Source organism: Homo sapiens, chromosome 11, assembly GCF_000001405.40.
Source record: "Homo sapiens chromosome 11, GRCh38.p14 Primary Assembly".
In the NCBI taxonomy this organism is placed as follows: Eukaryota; Metazoa; Chordata; class Mammalia; order Primates; family Hominidae; genus Homo; species Homo sapiens.
Window position 1 is genome coordinate 76,949,775 of NC_000011.10, and position 17,869 is coordinate 76,967,643.

General features: G+C 40.8%; 1 protein-coding gene and 1 long non-coding RNA gene across 13 annotated transcripts in view, besides 2 other annotated features; one reads left to right on the forward strand and one right to left on the reverse strand.

Moving 5' to 3' along the window:
• The window catches only part of ACER3 (alkaline ceramidase 3), a 165,880-nt gene that overhangs the window by 88,857 nt on the left and 59,154 nt on the right, over positions 1–17,869 (forward strand). For 7 of the 9 annotated variants that reach the window (XR_007062489.1, NM_018367.7, XM_011545151.3 and 4 more), the window contains one exon: positions 9,205–9,257. The exons of 1 other annotated variant lie outside the window; for it this stretch is intronic. Coding sequence is in view for 6 of the 8 variants with exons in the window: in NM_018367.7 (NP_060837.3) it covers positions 9,205–9,257 (53 nt within the window). In the remaining 2 variants the exon portion in view is untranslated. Of the gene's footprint in view, positions 1–9,204; positions 9,258–9,302; positions 9,427–17,869 lie in introns of all 9 variants that reach the window. One more of the 9 variants, NM_001300954.2, reaches the window with a different exon arrangement.
• ACER3-AS1 (ACER antisense RNA 1) overlaps positions 5,772–17,869 on the reverse strand; it is an 80,139-nt gene continuing 68,041 nt past the window's right edge. For 2 of the 4 annotated variants that reach the window (XR_007062792.1, XR_007062790.1), the window contains exons 2-3: positions 9,060–9,239; positions 5,772–5,811 (exon numbers count right to left, since the gene is read on the reverse strand). This is a non-coding gene — a long non-coding RNA (ACER antisense RNA 1). Of the gene's footprint in view, positions 5,812–9,059; positions 9,240–11,639; positions 11,769–13,565; positions 14,135–17,869 lie in introns of those variants that run through there. The other 2 variants (XR_007062791.1, XR_007062793.1) reach the window with 2 other exon arrangements.
• Positions 13,347–13,406: a silencer, noted in NCBI's record as "silent region_3793". NCBI's record gives its function as "represses an Ori minimal core promoter by ATAC-STARR-seq in GM12878 lymphoblastoid cells {active_cell/tissue: GM12878}" and the evidence as "EXISTENCE:reporter gene assay evidence [ECO:0000049][PMID:35858748]".
• Positions 13,628–14,827: an enhancer, noted in NCBI's record as "BRD4-independent group 4 enhancer chr11:76674446-76675645 (GRCh37/hg19 assembly coordinates)". NCBI's record gives its function as "activates an origin of replication core promoter dependent on BRD2, P300/CBP, MED14 and CDK7 cofactors, and independent of BRD4, by STARR-seq in HCT116 cells {active_cell/tissue: HCT116}" and the evidence as "EXISTENCE:reporter gene assay evidence [ECO:0000049][PMID:35650434]".

Below are 17,869 nucleotides of genomic sequence, written 5' to 3' on the forward strand. Positions count from 1 at the left end.
CTCCAGCCCTGCCTACCTCTTTCTATTCAACCATTTTCTGTTTAAGTGAGATCACCTATTTGAAAATCTATATTCCTTGGCACATGGGTTCTAATCTGGACTCTGTCTGCCTTGCTAGGTTCGTCTTCCGTAACTCTCCCACATATACCCAACAGTTTAGCTATATCAAACTACTTGCTGTTTTCAGTACCATATGTATTTTCACCTTTCTGCCTTTAACCTTCTTTGTCTGGTGAACTCTGCATTGCTATCACTTAGGACTCTGCTTTCTCTAGAAAGCCGCCTTTTAAATCTTCCTCAGTCTCCTGCTAGGATCAGATGACTTTTCTGCTCTCCCACAGAATACAGTGCACACTATAGCATTTAGTGCACCATATTGTAATTATCTGTGTGCTTCCTAACTTTCTCCTAATATGCCTTAGAAGTCAAGAGGGAAAGTGGTAGAATATGAGGTTGGAGAGATTTGGGCAGGAGCCAGATCACCCAGGGCCTTACCATAAGCCGGAGTAGAGTCTAAAGTTTATTCTAAGAGCAATGGAAAGCCAATGGAGGGTTTTAAACAGGAGAGTGACATGATCATATATATATATATATATATATATATATATATATATATATATATATATATATATATATAATTTACACATGTAAGTGTGTGTATGTATATCTATATCTATATTTATATCTAAATATAGATATAGATTTGAGGCAGGATCTCACTCTGTCACTCTGGCTGGAGAGCAGTGGCGCAATCATGGCTCACTGCAGCCTCAATCTCCTAGGTTCAAGTGATCCTGCCACCTCAGCCTCCCTTGTAGCTGGGACCATAGGCGTGCACCACCATACCAAGCTAATTTTTTACATTTTTTGTAGAGACATTGTGTCACCATGTTGCCCAGGCTGAGCTGGTCTTGAAGTCCTGGGCTCAAGCAATCCCCGTCTTGGCCTCCCAAAGTTGTAGGATTACAGGCATGAGCCACCATGCCAGGCCCAGAATTTACAAAGGAAGAAAAAAGTTCCAAAGTTGATTTGGAGGTTTTCTCTTGATAGCCTTGTTATAACCACAGAAAGTATGTTTTGTTGAGAGAAAGATAATATGGACGATCTTTTCTGTCTTTTCCTGAATTTACTAAGATCTAAAAATTCTACTTGCCCTCATTTTTCTTCCCATCTAATGAAAATATGTTTGATTCTAAATATGTGCCTTATACTTGCACTTCTGCCTTTTGAATTATTTTATTTGGTTCCTCTAATTTTGTCTTCATTCATATCCTTACCATGAAATGATCCTCTCCTAAGTTTTGGATCAGCTCTGACTTTTTAAAATTTATATACTAAAATCAGAGGTTCTAAAGTACCTGTATCCTATCAAAAACAATTTTATGTACAGCCTTAAGTTACAACTTATTTTTTATCACAAGATTCATAAATAAAAGTCTTAACGGGAATAAATTATACAGCAATTGCTAACTTTGGTGGGATATTTTTATTGCTCTTTTACTTTTGTGTCTTGCTGATTTTTATAACTAGAAGGGTTTTTTTTACTCTCCCCTCCTCCATTAAAGCACATCATAGTATTCCCTTGAAGTGGATATAGTCAACATAATGAAACATTTTAAGAGGCTCACAATAGCAGTGTTGATCCTCTTGGTCTTCTTTTCTTTCCAGTATTTTAATGTGTCTGGAGAGCATTTGAGTTCATCATTGACTAGAGAGAAAGTGACCAAAATGCTTTCTGAATTCTCCCTTGATTTCTTGTTAAATGTGGAGATGTGACTGAGTTTCCCCCATCTGGTTCACTTTAGAGAGCTAATTTCAGGCACCTTATTTTATTTCTCCCCCTTCCTTCTATTCTTCTGCCCTATTTCTTGTGAAATACTGGATTACCAAAGGAGAAGGGAAAAAAATCAGCCATTCAGCAAATACCTAATAAGTATTCTCTATATGCCTGGCACTGGGCAAGTTTCTGGTGACAGTGAACTGTGGAGACCTAGACTATGCCTTTATGAACCTTAGAATCCAAAAGTGGTCTTTGGCTTTTCATGGGCAACAGTCATTGACAGCCCTTTAAAATACATGTACCAGGGTACCCACTGAATCAGAAGCTTCTGGACTGGCCTAGCATTTTAAAAGCTGTATGGGCAAAACAGTATGATCCAAAAGCTGATAACTACTGGCCTTATCAAACATTATTTCTTGGATGCTTTGTATAGTAGACTTAACTGGAGAGGAAGCAGATGAACATTTGACTTAGGAGATGGCACTTAAAATGGATCTAGGATACACACTGAAGTATTAAGGAGTAAAAGGGCATGATGTATCAATTTACTCATAAATGTTCAGAAAAAATATTATATATATATATACACACACACACACACACACACACACACATATAAATATGAAAATTAGCCAGATGATAAAAATTGGTGAATCTGAACCAATGTGTAGAACATATCCAAGAATTCACTATACTATTCTTTCTTTCTTTTTTTTTTTTTTTGAGATGGAGTCTCTCCCTGTCGCCTAAGCTGGAGTGCAGTGGCACAATCTCGGCTCACTGCAACCTCCGCCTCCCAGGTTCAAGGGATTCTCCTGCCTCAGCCTCCCAAGTAGCTGGGACCACAGGCGCCCGCCACGACGCCCGGCTAATTTTTGTATTTTTAGTAGAGACAGGGTTTCACTAAGTTGGCCAGGCTGGTCTCGAACTCCTGACCTCGTGATCTGCCCACCTTGGCCTCTCAAAGTGCTGGGATTACAGGTGTAAGCCACTGCGCCCAGCTACTATACTATTCTTTCAACATTTTTGTAAGTTTGAAATTACTTCAAAAGAAAAAACTTGAAAGAAACAAAAAGCAAACAGTAAAATGGCTATAGAAGTTACGTAAGATTTCTTTTTTTTTTTTTTTTTAGACAGAGTCTCATTCTATCGCCCAGGCTGGAGTGCAGTGGCACAATCTCAACTCACTGTAACCTCCGCCTCCCAGGTTAAGCAATTCTCCTGCCTCAGCCTCCCAAGTAGCTGCAATTACAGGTGCCTGTCACCACACCTGGCTAATTTTTGTATTTTTAGTAAAGAGAGGGTTTCACCATGTTGGCCAGGCTGGTCTCAAACTCCTGACCTCTAGTGATCTGCCTGCCTCAGCCTCCCAAAGTGCTGGGATTACAAGTGTGAGCCACCGCACCCAGCCATGAAGTTGCATAAGATTCCAATAAACAGAGAGACAGGTTGGGGGCAAGTGGGATTGAGCAACGGAAAGAGTAAGTATTCCAGGCAGAAGTGACAGAGTGAGCACAGGATGAGCAAAGGCAAAGCAGACTCGAGTTAATGGTGTGAGATGAGAGACCAAAGGCAATCAGCTGTGACTGAACTACAAGCTACAGTGGAAGAAATCAGCGGAGCCAAATTATGAAGCTCCATGTATGCCTTGCAAGGAGTTTATTCATTATTTAAGCTAGCAGTTAAAGCAGGATGCACACACTGCAGGGAATGAAAACAATCTTTTGGGATGCAGGAAGAAAACTCTTTAACTTCTATTTGTGGCTGGGTGCGGTGGCTTACACCTGTAATCCCAGCGCTTTGGGAGGCCGAGGTGGGTGGATTACTTGAGGTCAGGAGTTGAGACCAGCCTGGCCAACGTGGCAAAACCCTGTCTCTACTAAAAATACAAAAATTAGCTGGGCATGGTGGTGGGTGCCTGTAATCCCAGCTACTCAGGAGGCTGATGCAGGAGAATCACTTGAACCTGGGAGGCGGAGGTTGCAGTGAGCCAAGATTGCGCCATTGCACTCCAGCCTGGGTGACAGAGTGAGACTCTGTCTCAAAAAACAAAACAAAACAAGACAGAAAACTTCTATTTGTATATAGTTACTTCTTTACCTCACTTTTTAAAAAGTTGTATTTTATGTGTTTTAAAATGTATAGTATCTTAGCACCACAGTTTGTATATAGTTTACAAATAAATATATGGGGTTGCTTAAAAATATTTTTGATATCAAAATTGGAAAACTAGTCTTTAGACATTTTCCTGCCTTGTAACCCAAGTGATATTTTTAAAATGCAAAACTGATTATATCAATTCCTATGTGTATGTGTCATTTTTTAACAACTGTACTTTCTCCTTAGGATAAAGTCCAAATCTGAATCAGATTTTAACATCGCTTTAAAAGTTCTTTTTTTTTTTTTTTTTGAGATGGAGTTTCACTCTTGTCGCCCAGGCTAGAGTGCAATGGCGCAATCTTGGCTTACCACAACCTCCGCCACCCAGGTTCAAGCGATTCTCCTGCCTCAGCCTCCCAAGTAGTTGGGATTACAGGCTTGCACCACCACGCCCAGCTAATTTTGTATTTTTAGTAGAGACAGGGTTTCACCATGTTGGTCAGGCTGGTCTCGAACTCCCGACCTCAGGTGATCCACCCACCTCGGCCTCCCAAAGTGCTGGGATTATAGGTGTGAGCCACCACACCTGGCCTAAAAGTTCTTCTTAATCTATTTTCTATAAACCATGCATGCGAGTTTCATCATTGGATCCCTACACCAAGTTGTTCATGGCTTAAGCCAAACTCTTTTAGTTCTTCAAATGCACAAACTCTGTCTTTATTCTAGATGACTCTTCTACATAGAATGATCTCATTTTTAAAAAAATTCTTTCATCTGGCTAATTTCAATTTATTCTTCAAATTCTAGCTTAAATATTACTTCCTCAGACAGCCCTCTTTTGACCCCCTAGACGAGGTAATAACATTATTCTTTGCATTGATTCTCATAGCTCTATAACTCCCCTTTTTTATGTTTTTTTGTTTAGTGGTTTGGTTGGTTTTTTTTTTTGTTTTTTGCTTTTTTTTTGACAAGATTTCACTCTGTCACCCAGGCTGGAGTGCAGTGGCACAATCATGGCTTACTGCAGCTTCAACCTCCCAGGCTCAAGTGATCCTCCCACCTCAGCCTCCCAAGTAGCTGTGACTACAGGACTATGCCATCACACCCAGTTAACCTTCTGTATGCTTTGTAGAGACAAAGATTCTCCATGTTGGGCAGGCTGGTCTCAAACTCCTGAGCTCAAGGGATCTACCCACCTTGGCCTCCCAAAGTCCTGGGTTTACAGGTGTGAGTCACCATACCCGGCCCCCTTTTTGTATTTTTAATGGTTTGTTTAAAGTTCTGAGACAGGAACCATATTTCTCTTGTACACTCACTTATCCCAGTGGAAATGCTTGGAGTATTAAGTACACAGTAAATATTTATTGAAAACAAATGGTGTCCTCGTTAAGGAAATACTAATCAAAATGATAATGAAATACCACTTCACATCCATTAGGATGGCTGTAATCACAAAGACAGCCAGTGATAAATATTGGCAAGATGTGGAGAAATTAGTATATTGCTGATAGGAATGTAAGATGGTACAGACACTCCAAAAAACACTTCCTCAAAATACTAAACCATGTGACCCAGAAATCTCACTCCAAAGTATATATGAATGAATGAAATAAAAACATATGTCCACATAAAAACTTGTATATGAGTGTTCACATATACAATATGTGAAATACAATATGTTCATAATAGTGAAAATGTAGAAACAACCTAAATGTCTTTTTTAGCTCAGGCTGCCGTAACAAAATACCATAGACTGGGTGGCTTAAGCAACATACATTTATTTCTCACAGTTCTGGAGGCTTGGAAGTCCAAGATCAAGGTGGCATTTAATTTGGTTCCTGGTGAGGAACCAAAACCAAAAAACGTCTCCTTCCTGGCTTGCAGATGGTCACTTTCTTGCTGTGTCTCACATGGCCTTTCCTCTGTCTGTGCTGTGGAAAGAGAAGAAGCAAGCTTCAGTGTCTTACTCTTATAAGGGCACTAATGCCATCCTGGGGATGCCACGCCCATATGACCTCATCCAAACCTAATTAACTCCCAAAGGTCTCACCTCCAGATACCATCACATTAGGGGCTAGAGCTTCAACATATGAACTGGGGAGTTGGGGAGGCAGGCATAGAAACATTCAGTACATAGCAATGTCCATCACCTGATGAATGGATAAGTAAAATATGGTATGTTCATATAATGGAATATTATTATTCGTCCATAAAAAGGATGAATCACTGATGCATGTGATGACATAAATGAACCTTGGAAACATTATGCTTAAGGAAGAGAAGCTAGACATAAAAGACTACATGATGTATGATTCCACTTAGATGTAATGTCCCCAGCAGGCAAATCTGTACAGACAAAGTAGACTAATGATTGCCCAGGGCTGGAGGGGTTGAGAGAAAATGGAAAATGACTGCTAATGGGTATAGGCTTTCTTTTAGGGGTGATGAAAATGTTCTAAAATTAGGTTGAGGTGATGTTTGCACACCTCTGAATATACTGAAAACAATTGAATTGTATACTTTGGATTGATTTTATGTGAATTATATCTCAAGAAACCTGATAAACAGCAAAACTTGGTGGTTTGCTTTAAAGGGGCAAAATACAAAATATTGCATAGAGAATGCTGTTCTATTACATGTTTTTGGACTCTAAATGTCTAGAAATGTCAGTTGCAGGAGAGCACTTTTTAAAAGAAAGGAAAATAACAAAGAAAAAAGAGGAGTAAACCTAGTGCTACCCTCTCCTGAAAGGAATTTGAAACCTCTGAGTAGCCACCAGAATAGATTTTCATCAGAATACTTTTTTATGTGTTACCCAGATTGTTGAAAGGAAATAAACTGTAGAGATCTCTAAAAAGTCAGATGTTTAATGGCTCTGTGAGCAAAAGCAGGGAAAAAAATCAGACTTTTAATGCTATATAATTTAACAGTATCAAGAGAACACTTTGAAAAGGTTTTGATAAAAACAGTCCTTGAGTAAGGCATGATAAAGTGGCCATTCTACCAAGATGAACAATCATCCCATCTCACTTTTTTTTTTTTTTTACTTCATAGTATATTGTTATTGTGTGACTTTAAATAACTTAAAGGTTTTTTTTTTCCTTTACATTGAATAATTTATCCACCTTTGTACCTTCTAATTACTTTTTTGGGAAAAAAGGCACGAACCACCCCACTTCCTTATTTCTCTAATGAGATGAGTGCAATAACTATCTTATTTCCCTCCTTTCATTTTGAGGAGTAAAAATTACAATCTAGTGATTTTTTTAAAGGCAAGAATAACATATAGTTTGAAATTTTTCTCAGGTGGCTTCATACAAATTATTTAATGACGCCCCTACTCACTACATTTGTTGGGCTAAGTCCTATGTATCCTTAAGTTTAATCTGTACCATCATTCTTGCATTCTTGGATTTCCTTCACAAGTGTTCCTTCTCTGTGCTTCTGTGGTACTCAACGCATATGTCCATGTGCAGGCACCTTCTGTTTATCTGCCTGTCTCTTCCATTAGACTATATGTTTCATTAAGGCCAATGACTGGATCTTATCTTTGTACCTCAGCATCTATAACTGAATTTGGCAAATAGGATGCACTCAGTAAATTCTGAACTAAACTGAATCAGAAAAAAAAGCTTTATTAGATGTTATAAGGGCTGATACTTGATCAGTTAATTTTTTTAAGTTGAAGCATAGAATTTTTTAAATTTTGGATATTAAACCTTTGATATATTGAAGCACAGAATTATTGAATACATATATACATGAAGTTTAATTTTTAACTTTTTGTGTGTGTGTTTTTTCATTTTTGAGATGGAGTCTCACTCTGTCGCCGAGGCTGAAGTGCAGTGGCACAATCTCGGCTCACTGCAACCTCCATTTCCCAGGTTTACGCGATCCTTCTGCCTCAGCCTCCCAAGTAGCTGGGACTACAGGTGTGTATCACCATGTCTGGCTAATTTTTATATTTTTAGTAGAGATGGGGTTTCACCATGTTGACCAGGCTGATCTCGAACTCCTGACCTCAGGTGATCTGTCTGCCTCAGCCTCCAAAGTGCTGGGATTACAGGTGTGAGCCACCGGGCTGGGCCTGAAGTTTTATTTTTGTTGTATATAATCTTTGACAATTACTTAACATAGGGCATGACCATTGAATGAGAGACCCTAATTTTAGTTCTACTTACTCTTTGCTTTAAAAACCAAACATTTTATAAAACGCTAAAATGAAAATAGTTTATTTAAAATGGAGGCACTTGGGAAGAACTTAGGACATGAACACAGAATCTTTTTATTTTTTAATTTTATTATTATTATCTTATGTATTAATAGAGATAAGGTCTCACTATGTTGCCCAGGCTGGTCTTGAACTTCTGAGTTCAAGCGATCCTCTGGCCTTAGCCTCCCAAAGTGCTGGGATTACAAGCCTGAGCCACTGTGCCCTGCCTACAGAATCTTTTTAGATTTTTACTATTTTTCCCAGTCTGTAACAGATATCCAACCACACCTAATTCAACATGATTTTTATTAGCAACTTTTTTTTTTTTTTTTTTTTGAGACAGAGTTTTGCTCTTGTTGCCCGGGCTGGAGTGCAGTGGCACAGTCTCAGCTCACTGCAACCTCCTTCTTCTGGGTTCAAACGATTCTCTTGCCTCAGCCTCCCGAGTAGCTGGTATTACGGGGGCCTGCCACCATGACCAGCTAATTTTTGTATTTTTAGTAGAGACGGGGTTTCACCATGTTGGCCAGGCTGGTCTTGAACTCCTGACCTTAGATGGTCCACCCACCTCAACCTCCCAAAGTGCTGGGATTACAGGCGCGAGCCACTGTGTCCGGCCAGCAACTCATTTTTATTAAGTCTACTTTAAGCATTTTAAATAGTTCTTGGAGAAGCAACAACTCTTTTTGCAGTCATAGCTCTGATAACCAAATACAATGGCATCAACAAGTTCAGGAACAAACTGACTGGCTCTTAGTAAGCATACACCTTAGCCATTTGGGTCAGAAGTGCAAAGGAGTAGCTAACCAGCTATGTGCATTAAAACTTATCCTGAGCATCAGATAATACATTTTACAGAAATAATGGAATATTGTTAGTCTAGTAAGTCACTTAGTAGAGGGAATTTAGGAGAACTTATATTGTACTTCTTTTCTACACCAAAATTTCACCAATTATAGCACTTACTCAAGAGTCAGCTATATCTTGCCACTAGATTTTATAAACTTCATTATCCTTAACTCAATGCTTTGAAATGTCTTATTGTCTTCTCAGGTCACTGTCCACGCACAAAGAATTTCATGCTAATTTTTTTTCATTTGTTTAATTTCAGTGGTAGGAATGGGATCCTGGTGCTTCCACATGACTCTGAAATATGAAATGCAGGTTAGTAATGATGAAATTGACAAATGCTTATTTCTCTTAATTCAGAAGTACTTCAGATTTGAGAAAAGAGCACATAACTATGGCTAAAAGATGGGATTTGTAATCTCTGGAGTTTTTTACTTCAAGTCTGAGGATCCAAACTGACTAAGTGAAGTAAAGAAATAAGCAGGTGAGTCCATAAGGAAAACAAGTACAAATAGTATAGGGCTTTTTGACCATCTCTGTGCGGGCATATAAAATTGAGAGCAGCATTAGAGAGCAGAGTCACATGGGGACATCTTAAAAAGACATAATCAGTTCACCAGAACAATATATTCTTATTCTGAGATACCTGCATTCTTTCATGGCTGTATGGCATCCATTTGAATAGTCTGAGTCCCTCTATGTAGCAAGACTTTAAAGCAAGCTTGTCCAACCTGTGGGCCGCATGTGACCCAGGATGGCTTTGAATGCAGCCCAATACAAATTCATAAACTTTCTTAAAACATTATAAGGTTTTTTTTTGCAATTTATTTTTATTTTTATTTTTCATTTTTTTGAGTCAAAGTTTTGCTCTTATTGCCCAGGCTGGAGTGCAGTGGTGCAATCTTGGCTCACTGCAACCTCTGCCTCCCAGGTTCAAGCAATTCTCCTGCCTCAGCCTCCCAAGTAGCTAGGACTACAGGCACCCACCACCAAGCCCGGCTAATTTTTTATATTTTTAGTAGAGACGGGGTTTCAACATGTTGGCCAGGCTGGTCTCGAACTCCTGACCTCAGGTGATCCGCCTGCCTCAGCCTCCCAAAATGCTGAGATTACAAGCATGAGCCACCGCACCCGGCCGTTAGTGTTAATTTTATGTGTGGCTCAGGGAAGCCAAAAGATTGGACACCCCTGCAGAGCTAGCCAAGGATTTTTAGTTTCCATCCTTACTCTGAGGAGGGCATATATGTCAAGTCCTCAGTCTTTTGATCTCTTGATTTCCCATCACTAATCCAGAAACTTCTAGAACAGTAGTACAAGTAAAATCTGAGCTACATTTGTAATTTAAATTTTTCTAGTAGCTACATTGAAAAAAAGTACACAGAAATGGGTGAAAATAATAATATATTTTATTTGGCTGGGCGCGGTGGCTCATGCCTGTAATCCCAGCACTTTGAGAGGCGGAGGTGGGTGGATCACGAGGTCAGGAGATTGAGACCATCCTGGCCAACATGTGGAAACCCCGTCTCTACTAAAAATACAAAAATTAGCTGGGTGTGGTGGTGTGCACCTGTAATCCCAGCTACCCGGGAAGCTGAGACAGGAGAATCTCTTGAGCCTGGGAGGCGGAGATCGCAGTAAGCCAAGATCACGCCACTGCACTCCAGCCTGGCGACAGAGCAAGACTCTGTCTCAAATAATAATAATAATCATAATAAATTTTATTTAACCCAGTATATCTAAAATACTACTTCTCTCTCTATATATAATCAATATAAAAAATTATGAATAAAGTATTTCATATTCTTAAATCTGGTTATTATACCTGCAATATATTTTTAGTTCAGATTAGGCTTATTTCAAGTGCTCAGTAGCCACATTGGAGTGTCAAAACCTGAGTGTGGCTTATAGGATAGCCACATGGGGTGGGGACCATCCATCACAGAACTCTGGGACCTCAGCCAGTTAAAGAGAGTGTCAACATAGGGGGATAGTCCAGTGTAGGGTGTCAGAGCCTAACTAGGAGTGAGGAGGGTATTTGCACATCAAGGCAGCCCAGGGACAGTGTATTAGAGACCAGGGTTGAAAAGGTATCCATGCAAAGGGGACAGCTCAGTGCAGAATAAGAAGGGTGTCCTCCCAAGTTGGGGGGGTCATTTGACATGCGGTTGGAATCTGAGTGGGATGGAGAGAGTGCCACATAGTGGGGACAGCTTTGTGCCATGTTTTGGTACCCTGGGAAGGTGAGAGTGACTTCTACATGGCAGAGTGGCCCAGTGCAGGATCTGAGAGCACAAGCAGAGTCGAGAGGCTGTCTAAGTGGAGGTGCAGCAGCAGCCCAGCACCAAGTGTTGGAGCCTGAATTGAGTGAGAAGGGCATTGCTTGGGAAAAGGAGAGGTAGCAATGGAAGCCATGTTGCATACAGGGTAATTAATCAAATAAATAAATACATTAAGGAGAATGGGAGCCAGGTTTCTTACTGTTAGAGAACAAAAGTCGCAAATACGGAAAAGATGAAAACTAGAATGAGCTCTGTGGTGACAAACTGAAATTGGAGTTAACAGTGCAGACTCCTATGTTCAATACATACATATATAATAGACATAAATATAGATGTGAAAATATGTGATATGCATATGTATGTATTTTGTGTATATGTATACATACTTAAATATTTTAATACACATATATATACATACATTCTCAAGCTCTGTCCATGAGAGGATCTGGGAATGGGGAACTTCAAAGCCAAAGAATATACCTAGCATCCAGATCTTGTTTTCTAAAAATCATTCTTCTTTAAAAGGAACCAGGGCTGATTCCAAGGGCTGGGGCAGAAAAAAAAAAAAGGACAATATCAGCCTAGATCATCTTTTTATGCCAGAAAAAATGGAAAGGCTCAAAAAATTATGGGAATATGTCAAAAGGACACTGAAGCCAACTTGAAGAGGTTCCTGCTGGCCAAATATGGGGCAATTTGAGCATCAAAATAAATGGTAATGGGTTATAATAGTTATAATGTAACCCGATGAGTAATATGGGAAATCTGAGTCCATACTAGATAATAAATGATGTATTAAATGAAATAATACATGAGTATAAATAAATGAATAAAGAAAAAGTTTGATGTTAAAGAGTATATTTACATAGTTTCAAAGTACCTTTCCACAAAATACTTAAAAAGGGGAGAAAGAATACCTTTACAGTGGAGAAGCCAAGTGGGAAACACCTTAATCAAGCAACCTAATCATCACTAATGGGACAAATCAAAATTATATGTGTTAATGGAAAAACTAAACCCTGTCAAATATCTTTATTTTATTATTTTTAATTTTTATTATTATTATTTTTTGAGATGGAGTTTCACCCTTGTCACTTAGGCTGGCATGCAGTGGTGTAATCTTGGCTCACGGCAACCTCTGCCTCCCAGGTTCAAGTGATTCTCCTGCCTCAGCCTCCCGAGTAGCTGGGGTTACAGGCGTGCACCACCATGCCCAGCTAATTTTTTTTTTTTTTTTTTGAGATGGAGTCTCACTCTGTCGCCCAGAGTGACACTGGAATGTAGTGTGATCTCGGCTCACTGCAACCTCTGCCTCCCAGGTTCAAGCGATTCTCCTGCCTCAGCCTCCTGAGTAGCTGGGGTTATAAGCACCCGCCACCATGCCTCGCTAATTTTTGTATTTTTAGTAGAGACGGGGTTTCACCACATTGGCCAGGCTGGTCTTGAACTCTTGACCTCAGATGATCCACCCACCTGGCCTCCCAAAGTGCTGGGAATACAGGCGTGAGCCACTGTGCCTGGCCTGTCAAGTATTTTTTAAAGGTTTATTCTGAGCCAATATTAGTGACCATGGCATGGTGTGATACTGGTGGGCTGGGGGAAGTCCCCAAACAGCAGTGGACCTCTATCCTAGCCAATGTCTAGGCTCTTGGCACCATCACAAGAATGAATTCAAGGACAAGTCGAAAAATAATGAAAGTAAAGAAATTTATTGCAAAGAGTAAAAGTACACACTCAAGGGAGTGCAGGTGTACTTGAGAGAGTGTCATGCAGTGGGGTTTGGGGCTGCTACCTTTATGTGTTTCTCTAACCAAGGAATGGAATATTCATGAAAATTCCTGGAAAAAGGTAGAGATTTATCAGAACTGTGGTGCCACCCAATAGGTGTTCCTGGAACTGTCATAGTGAGGGAGAAGAAAAGGAAAAATTAGTTAGGTAAACGGTTAAGGCTGGTCCTTGGAAAAGCTGCCTGCCTGAAAAATCACAGCTACAGGCAAGATAGAGCAGCTTGGAGAAAAACTCAGACTGTAGAAGCTGCCTGCCTGAAAAATCGCAGCTACAGTGCACCTGCACAGATAAGCCACAGATAAGCAGGCAAGGCAGGAAAAGTCCAGCATAGAAGCCTTTTGCTCTTTGTATGATTAGCGAGCTCCCAGGAAGTTTCCTCCCCTTTTCAGACATGTACACAGTGGGCCCCATGGAAACTTGCAGAGGGAGGAGGGGGGCTTACTTTAAACAAAACCACAATTATACAAACAAAAAGTTTCACTTTATGCTTACCTAGAGACATACCCACAACTACATAAAGGGAAGTTATGCATAGATAAGTTTCTCAAACACTTACAGACATGAGAGCAGTTTCTTGTGAAAGCTTTTCAATTCAGCTTTTCTTCTTTTGCTTATTAAACTTTTCCTCCAACCTCATTCTTTGGGTCCACACTCCTTAATTTTCTTGAGACCACAAGCTCGGATAACACATTAGACAACGAGACCAGTGACCCTGACCTATTTCAATGGTGCTGCTGGGTTTGTGGTTTAGTATGTTAATGAGCATATAATGAGGTCCTAGGTGAAACCTCGGTCAAATCCAGTGACATGCTGGATCCAATCGGTCTTAGCCAGCTTGGTCCACACCCTGTTTTTCAGGATCTTACCAGCCCAAAGACTCTAAGTCATGTGAAATTGCTGCCTGGAATTTCTTCTCCACCCTGTATTATTCCTATCTCAGGACAATAGAGTCTCAAGAGGTCCTTTGATTTCCTTGTCATGTGATGCTATACCAAAGTCAGGTTGAAAAGTAAGCCACATTATGCTGCGTTAAGAAAAGAAACCTGGTCAAGTAGCCAAGATGGCCAAATAGGAACAGCTCCAGTCTACAACTCTCGGCGTTAGCGACACAGAAGACGGGTGACTTCTGCATTTCCAACTGAGGTACCGGGTTCATCTCACTGGGGAGTGCCGGACATTGGGTGCAGGTCAGTGGGTGCAGTGCATGTGCGTGAGCCAAAGCAGGGCGAGGCATCGCCTCACCCAGGAAGTGCAAGGGGTCAGGGAATTCCCTTTCCTAGTCAAAGAAAGGGGTGACCGATGGCACCTGGAAAATCAGGTCACTCCCACCCTAATACTGCACTTTCCCAATGGGCTTAACAAACCGCACACCAGGAGATTATATCCCGCACCTGGCTCGGAGGGTCCTACGCCCACGGAGCCTCTCTCACTGCTAGCACAGCAGTCTGAGATCAAATTGCAAGGCAGCAGTGAGGCTGGGGGAGGGGCGCCTGCCATTGCCGAGGCTTGAGTAGGTAAACAAAGCGGCCGGGAAGCTCGAACTGGATGAAGCCCACCACAGCTCAAGGAGGCCTGCCTGCCTCTATAGGCTCCACCTCTGGGGGCAGGGAACAGACAAACAAAAGGCAGCAGTAACCTCTGCAGACTTAAATGTCCCTGTCTGACAGCTTTGAAGAGAGTAGTGGTTCTCCCAGCATGAAGCTTGAGATCTGAGAACGGGCAGACTGCCTCCTCAAGTGGGTCCCTGACCCCCGAGTAGCCTAACTGGGAGGCACCCCCCAGTAGGGGTGGACTGACACCTCACACGGCTGGGTACTCTTCTGAGACAAAACTTCCAGAGGAATGATGAGGCAGCAGCATTTGCGGTTCACCAATATCCTCTGTTCTGCAGCCACCACTGCTGATACCCAGGCAAACAGGGTCTGAAGTGGACCTCCAGCAAACTCCAACAGACCTGCAGCTGAGGGTCCTGACTGTTAGAAGGACAACTAACAAACAGAAAGGACATCCACACCAAAAACCCATCTGTACGTCACCATCATCAAAGACCAAAGGTAGATAAAACCATGAAGATGGGAAAAAACAGAGCAGAAAAACTGGAAACTAAAAATCAGAGCGCCTGTCCTCCTCCAAAGGAATGCAGCTCCTCACCAGCAATGGAACAAAGCTGGACGGAGAATGACTTTGACAAGTTGAGAGAAGAAGGCTTCAGAAGATTAAACTACTCCAAGCTAAAGGAGGAAGTTCGAACCAATGGCAAAGAAGTTAAAAACCTTGAAAAAAAATAAGATGAATGGCTAACTAGAATAACCAATGCAGAGAGGTCCTTAAAGGACCTGATGGAGCTGAAAACCACGGCACGAGAACTACGTGACGAATGCACAAGCCTCAGTAGCTGATGCGATCAACTGGAAGAAAGGCTATCAGTGATGGAAGACGAAATGAATGAAATGAAGCCAGAAGAGAAGTTTAGAGAAAAAAGAATAAAAAGAAACGAACAAAGCCTCCAAGAAATATGGGACTGTGAAAAGACCAAATCTACGTCTGATTGTTGTACCTGAAAGTGACAGGGAGAATGGAACCAAGTTGGAAAACACTCTGCAGGATATTATCCAGGAGAACTTCCCCAATCTAGCAAGGCAGGCCAACATTCAAATTCAGGAAATACAAAGAATGCCACAAAGATACTCCTCGAGAGGAGCAACTCCAAGACACATAACTCTCAGATTCACGAAAGCTGAAATGAAGGAAAAAATGTTAAGGGCAGCCAGACAGAAAGGTAGGGTTACCCACAAAGGGAAGCCCATCAGACTAACAGCTGATCTCTCAGCAGAAACTCTACAAGCCAGAAGAGAGTGGGGGCCAATATTCAACATTCTTAAAGGAAAGAATTTTCAACACAGAATTTCATATCCAGCCAAACTAAGCTTCATAAGTGAAGGAGAAATAAAATCCTTTACAGACAAGCAAATGCTGAGAGATTTTGTCACCACCAGCCCTGCCCTAAAAGAGCTCCTGAAGGAAGCACTAAACATGGAAAGGAACAACCGGTACCAGCCACTGCAAAAACATGCCAAATTGTAAAGACCATCAAGGCTAGGAAGAAACTACATCAACTAACGAGCAAAATAACCAGCTAACATCATAATGACAGGATCAAATTCACACATAACAATATTAACCTTAAATGTAAATGGGCTAAATGCTCCAATTAAAAGACACAGGCTGGCAAATTGGATAAAGAGTCAAGACCCATCAGTGTGCTGTATTCAGGAGATCCATCTCATGTGCAGAGACACACATAGGCTCAAAATAAAGGGATGGAGGGAGATCTACCAAGCAAATGGAAAACAAAAAAAGGCAGGGGTTGCAATCCTAGTCTCTGATTAAACAGACTTTAAACCAACAAAGATCAAAAGAGACAAAGAAGGCCATTACATAATGGTAAAGGCATCAATTCAACAAGAAGAGCTAACTATCCTAAATATATATGCACCCAATACAGGAGCACCCAGATTCATAAAGCAAGTCCTTAGTGACCTACAAAGAGACTTAGACTCCCACACAATAATAATGGGAGACTTTAACACCCCACTGTCAACATTAGACAGATCAACGAGACAGAAAGTTAACAAGGATATCCAGGAATTGAACTCAGCTCTGCACCAAGCGGACCTCATAGACATCTACAGAACTCTCCACCCCAAATCAACAGAATATACATTCTTTTCAGCACCACACCACCCCTATTCCAAAATTGACCACATAGTTGGAAGTAAAGCACTCCTCAGCAAATGTAAAAGAACAAAGTATAACAAACTGTCTCTCAGACCACAGTGCAATCAAACTAGAACTCAGGATTAAGAAACTCACTCAAAACTGCTCAACTACATGGAAACTGAACAACCTGCTCCTGAATGACTACTGGGTACATAACGAAATGAAGGCAGAAATAAAGATGTTCTTTGAAACCAACGAGAACAAAGACACAACATACCAGAATCTCTGGAACACATTCAAAGCAGTGTGTAGAGGGAAATGTATAGCACTAAATGCCCACAAGAGAAAGCAGGAAAGATCTACAATTGACACCCTAACATCACAATTAAAAGAACTAGAGAAGCAAGAGCAAACACATTCAAAAGCTAGCAGAAGGCAAGAAATAACTAAAATCAGAGCAGAACTGAAGGAGATAAAGACACAAAAAACCCTTCAAAAAATCAAAGAATCCAGGAGCTGGTTTTTTGAAAAGATCAACAAAATTGATAGACCGCTAGCAAGACTAATAAAGAAGAAAAGAGAGAAGAATCAAATAGACACAATCAAAAATGATAAAGGGGATATCACCACCGATCCCACAGAAATACAAACTACCATCAGAGAATACTATAAACACCTCTATGCCAATAAACTAGAAAATCTAGAAGAAATGAATAAATTCCTTGACACATACACCCTCCCAAGACTAAACCAGGAAGAAGTTGAATCTCCGAATAGACCAATAACAGGCTCTGAAATTGAGGCAATAATTAATAGCTTACCAACCAAAAAGAGTCCAGGACCAGACGGATTCACAGCCGAATTCTACCAGAGGTACAAGGAGAAGCTGGTACCATTCCTTCTGAAACTATTCCAATCAATAGAAAAAGAGGGAATCCTCCCTAACTCATTTTATGAGGCCAGCATCATCCTGTTACCAAAGCCTGGCAGAGAATTTTAGACCAATATCCTTGATGAACATTGAGGCAAAAATCCTCAATAAAATACTGGCAAACCGAATCCAGCAGCACATCAAAAAACTTATCCACCATGATCAAGTGGGCTTCATCCCTGGGATGCAAGGCTGGTTCAACATAGGCA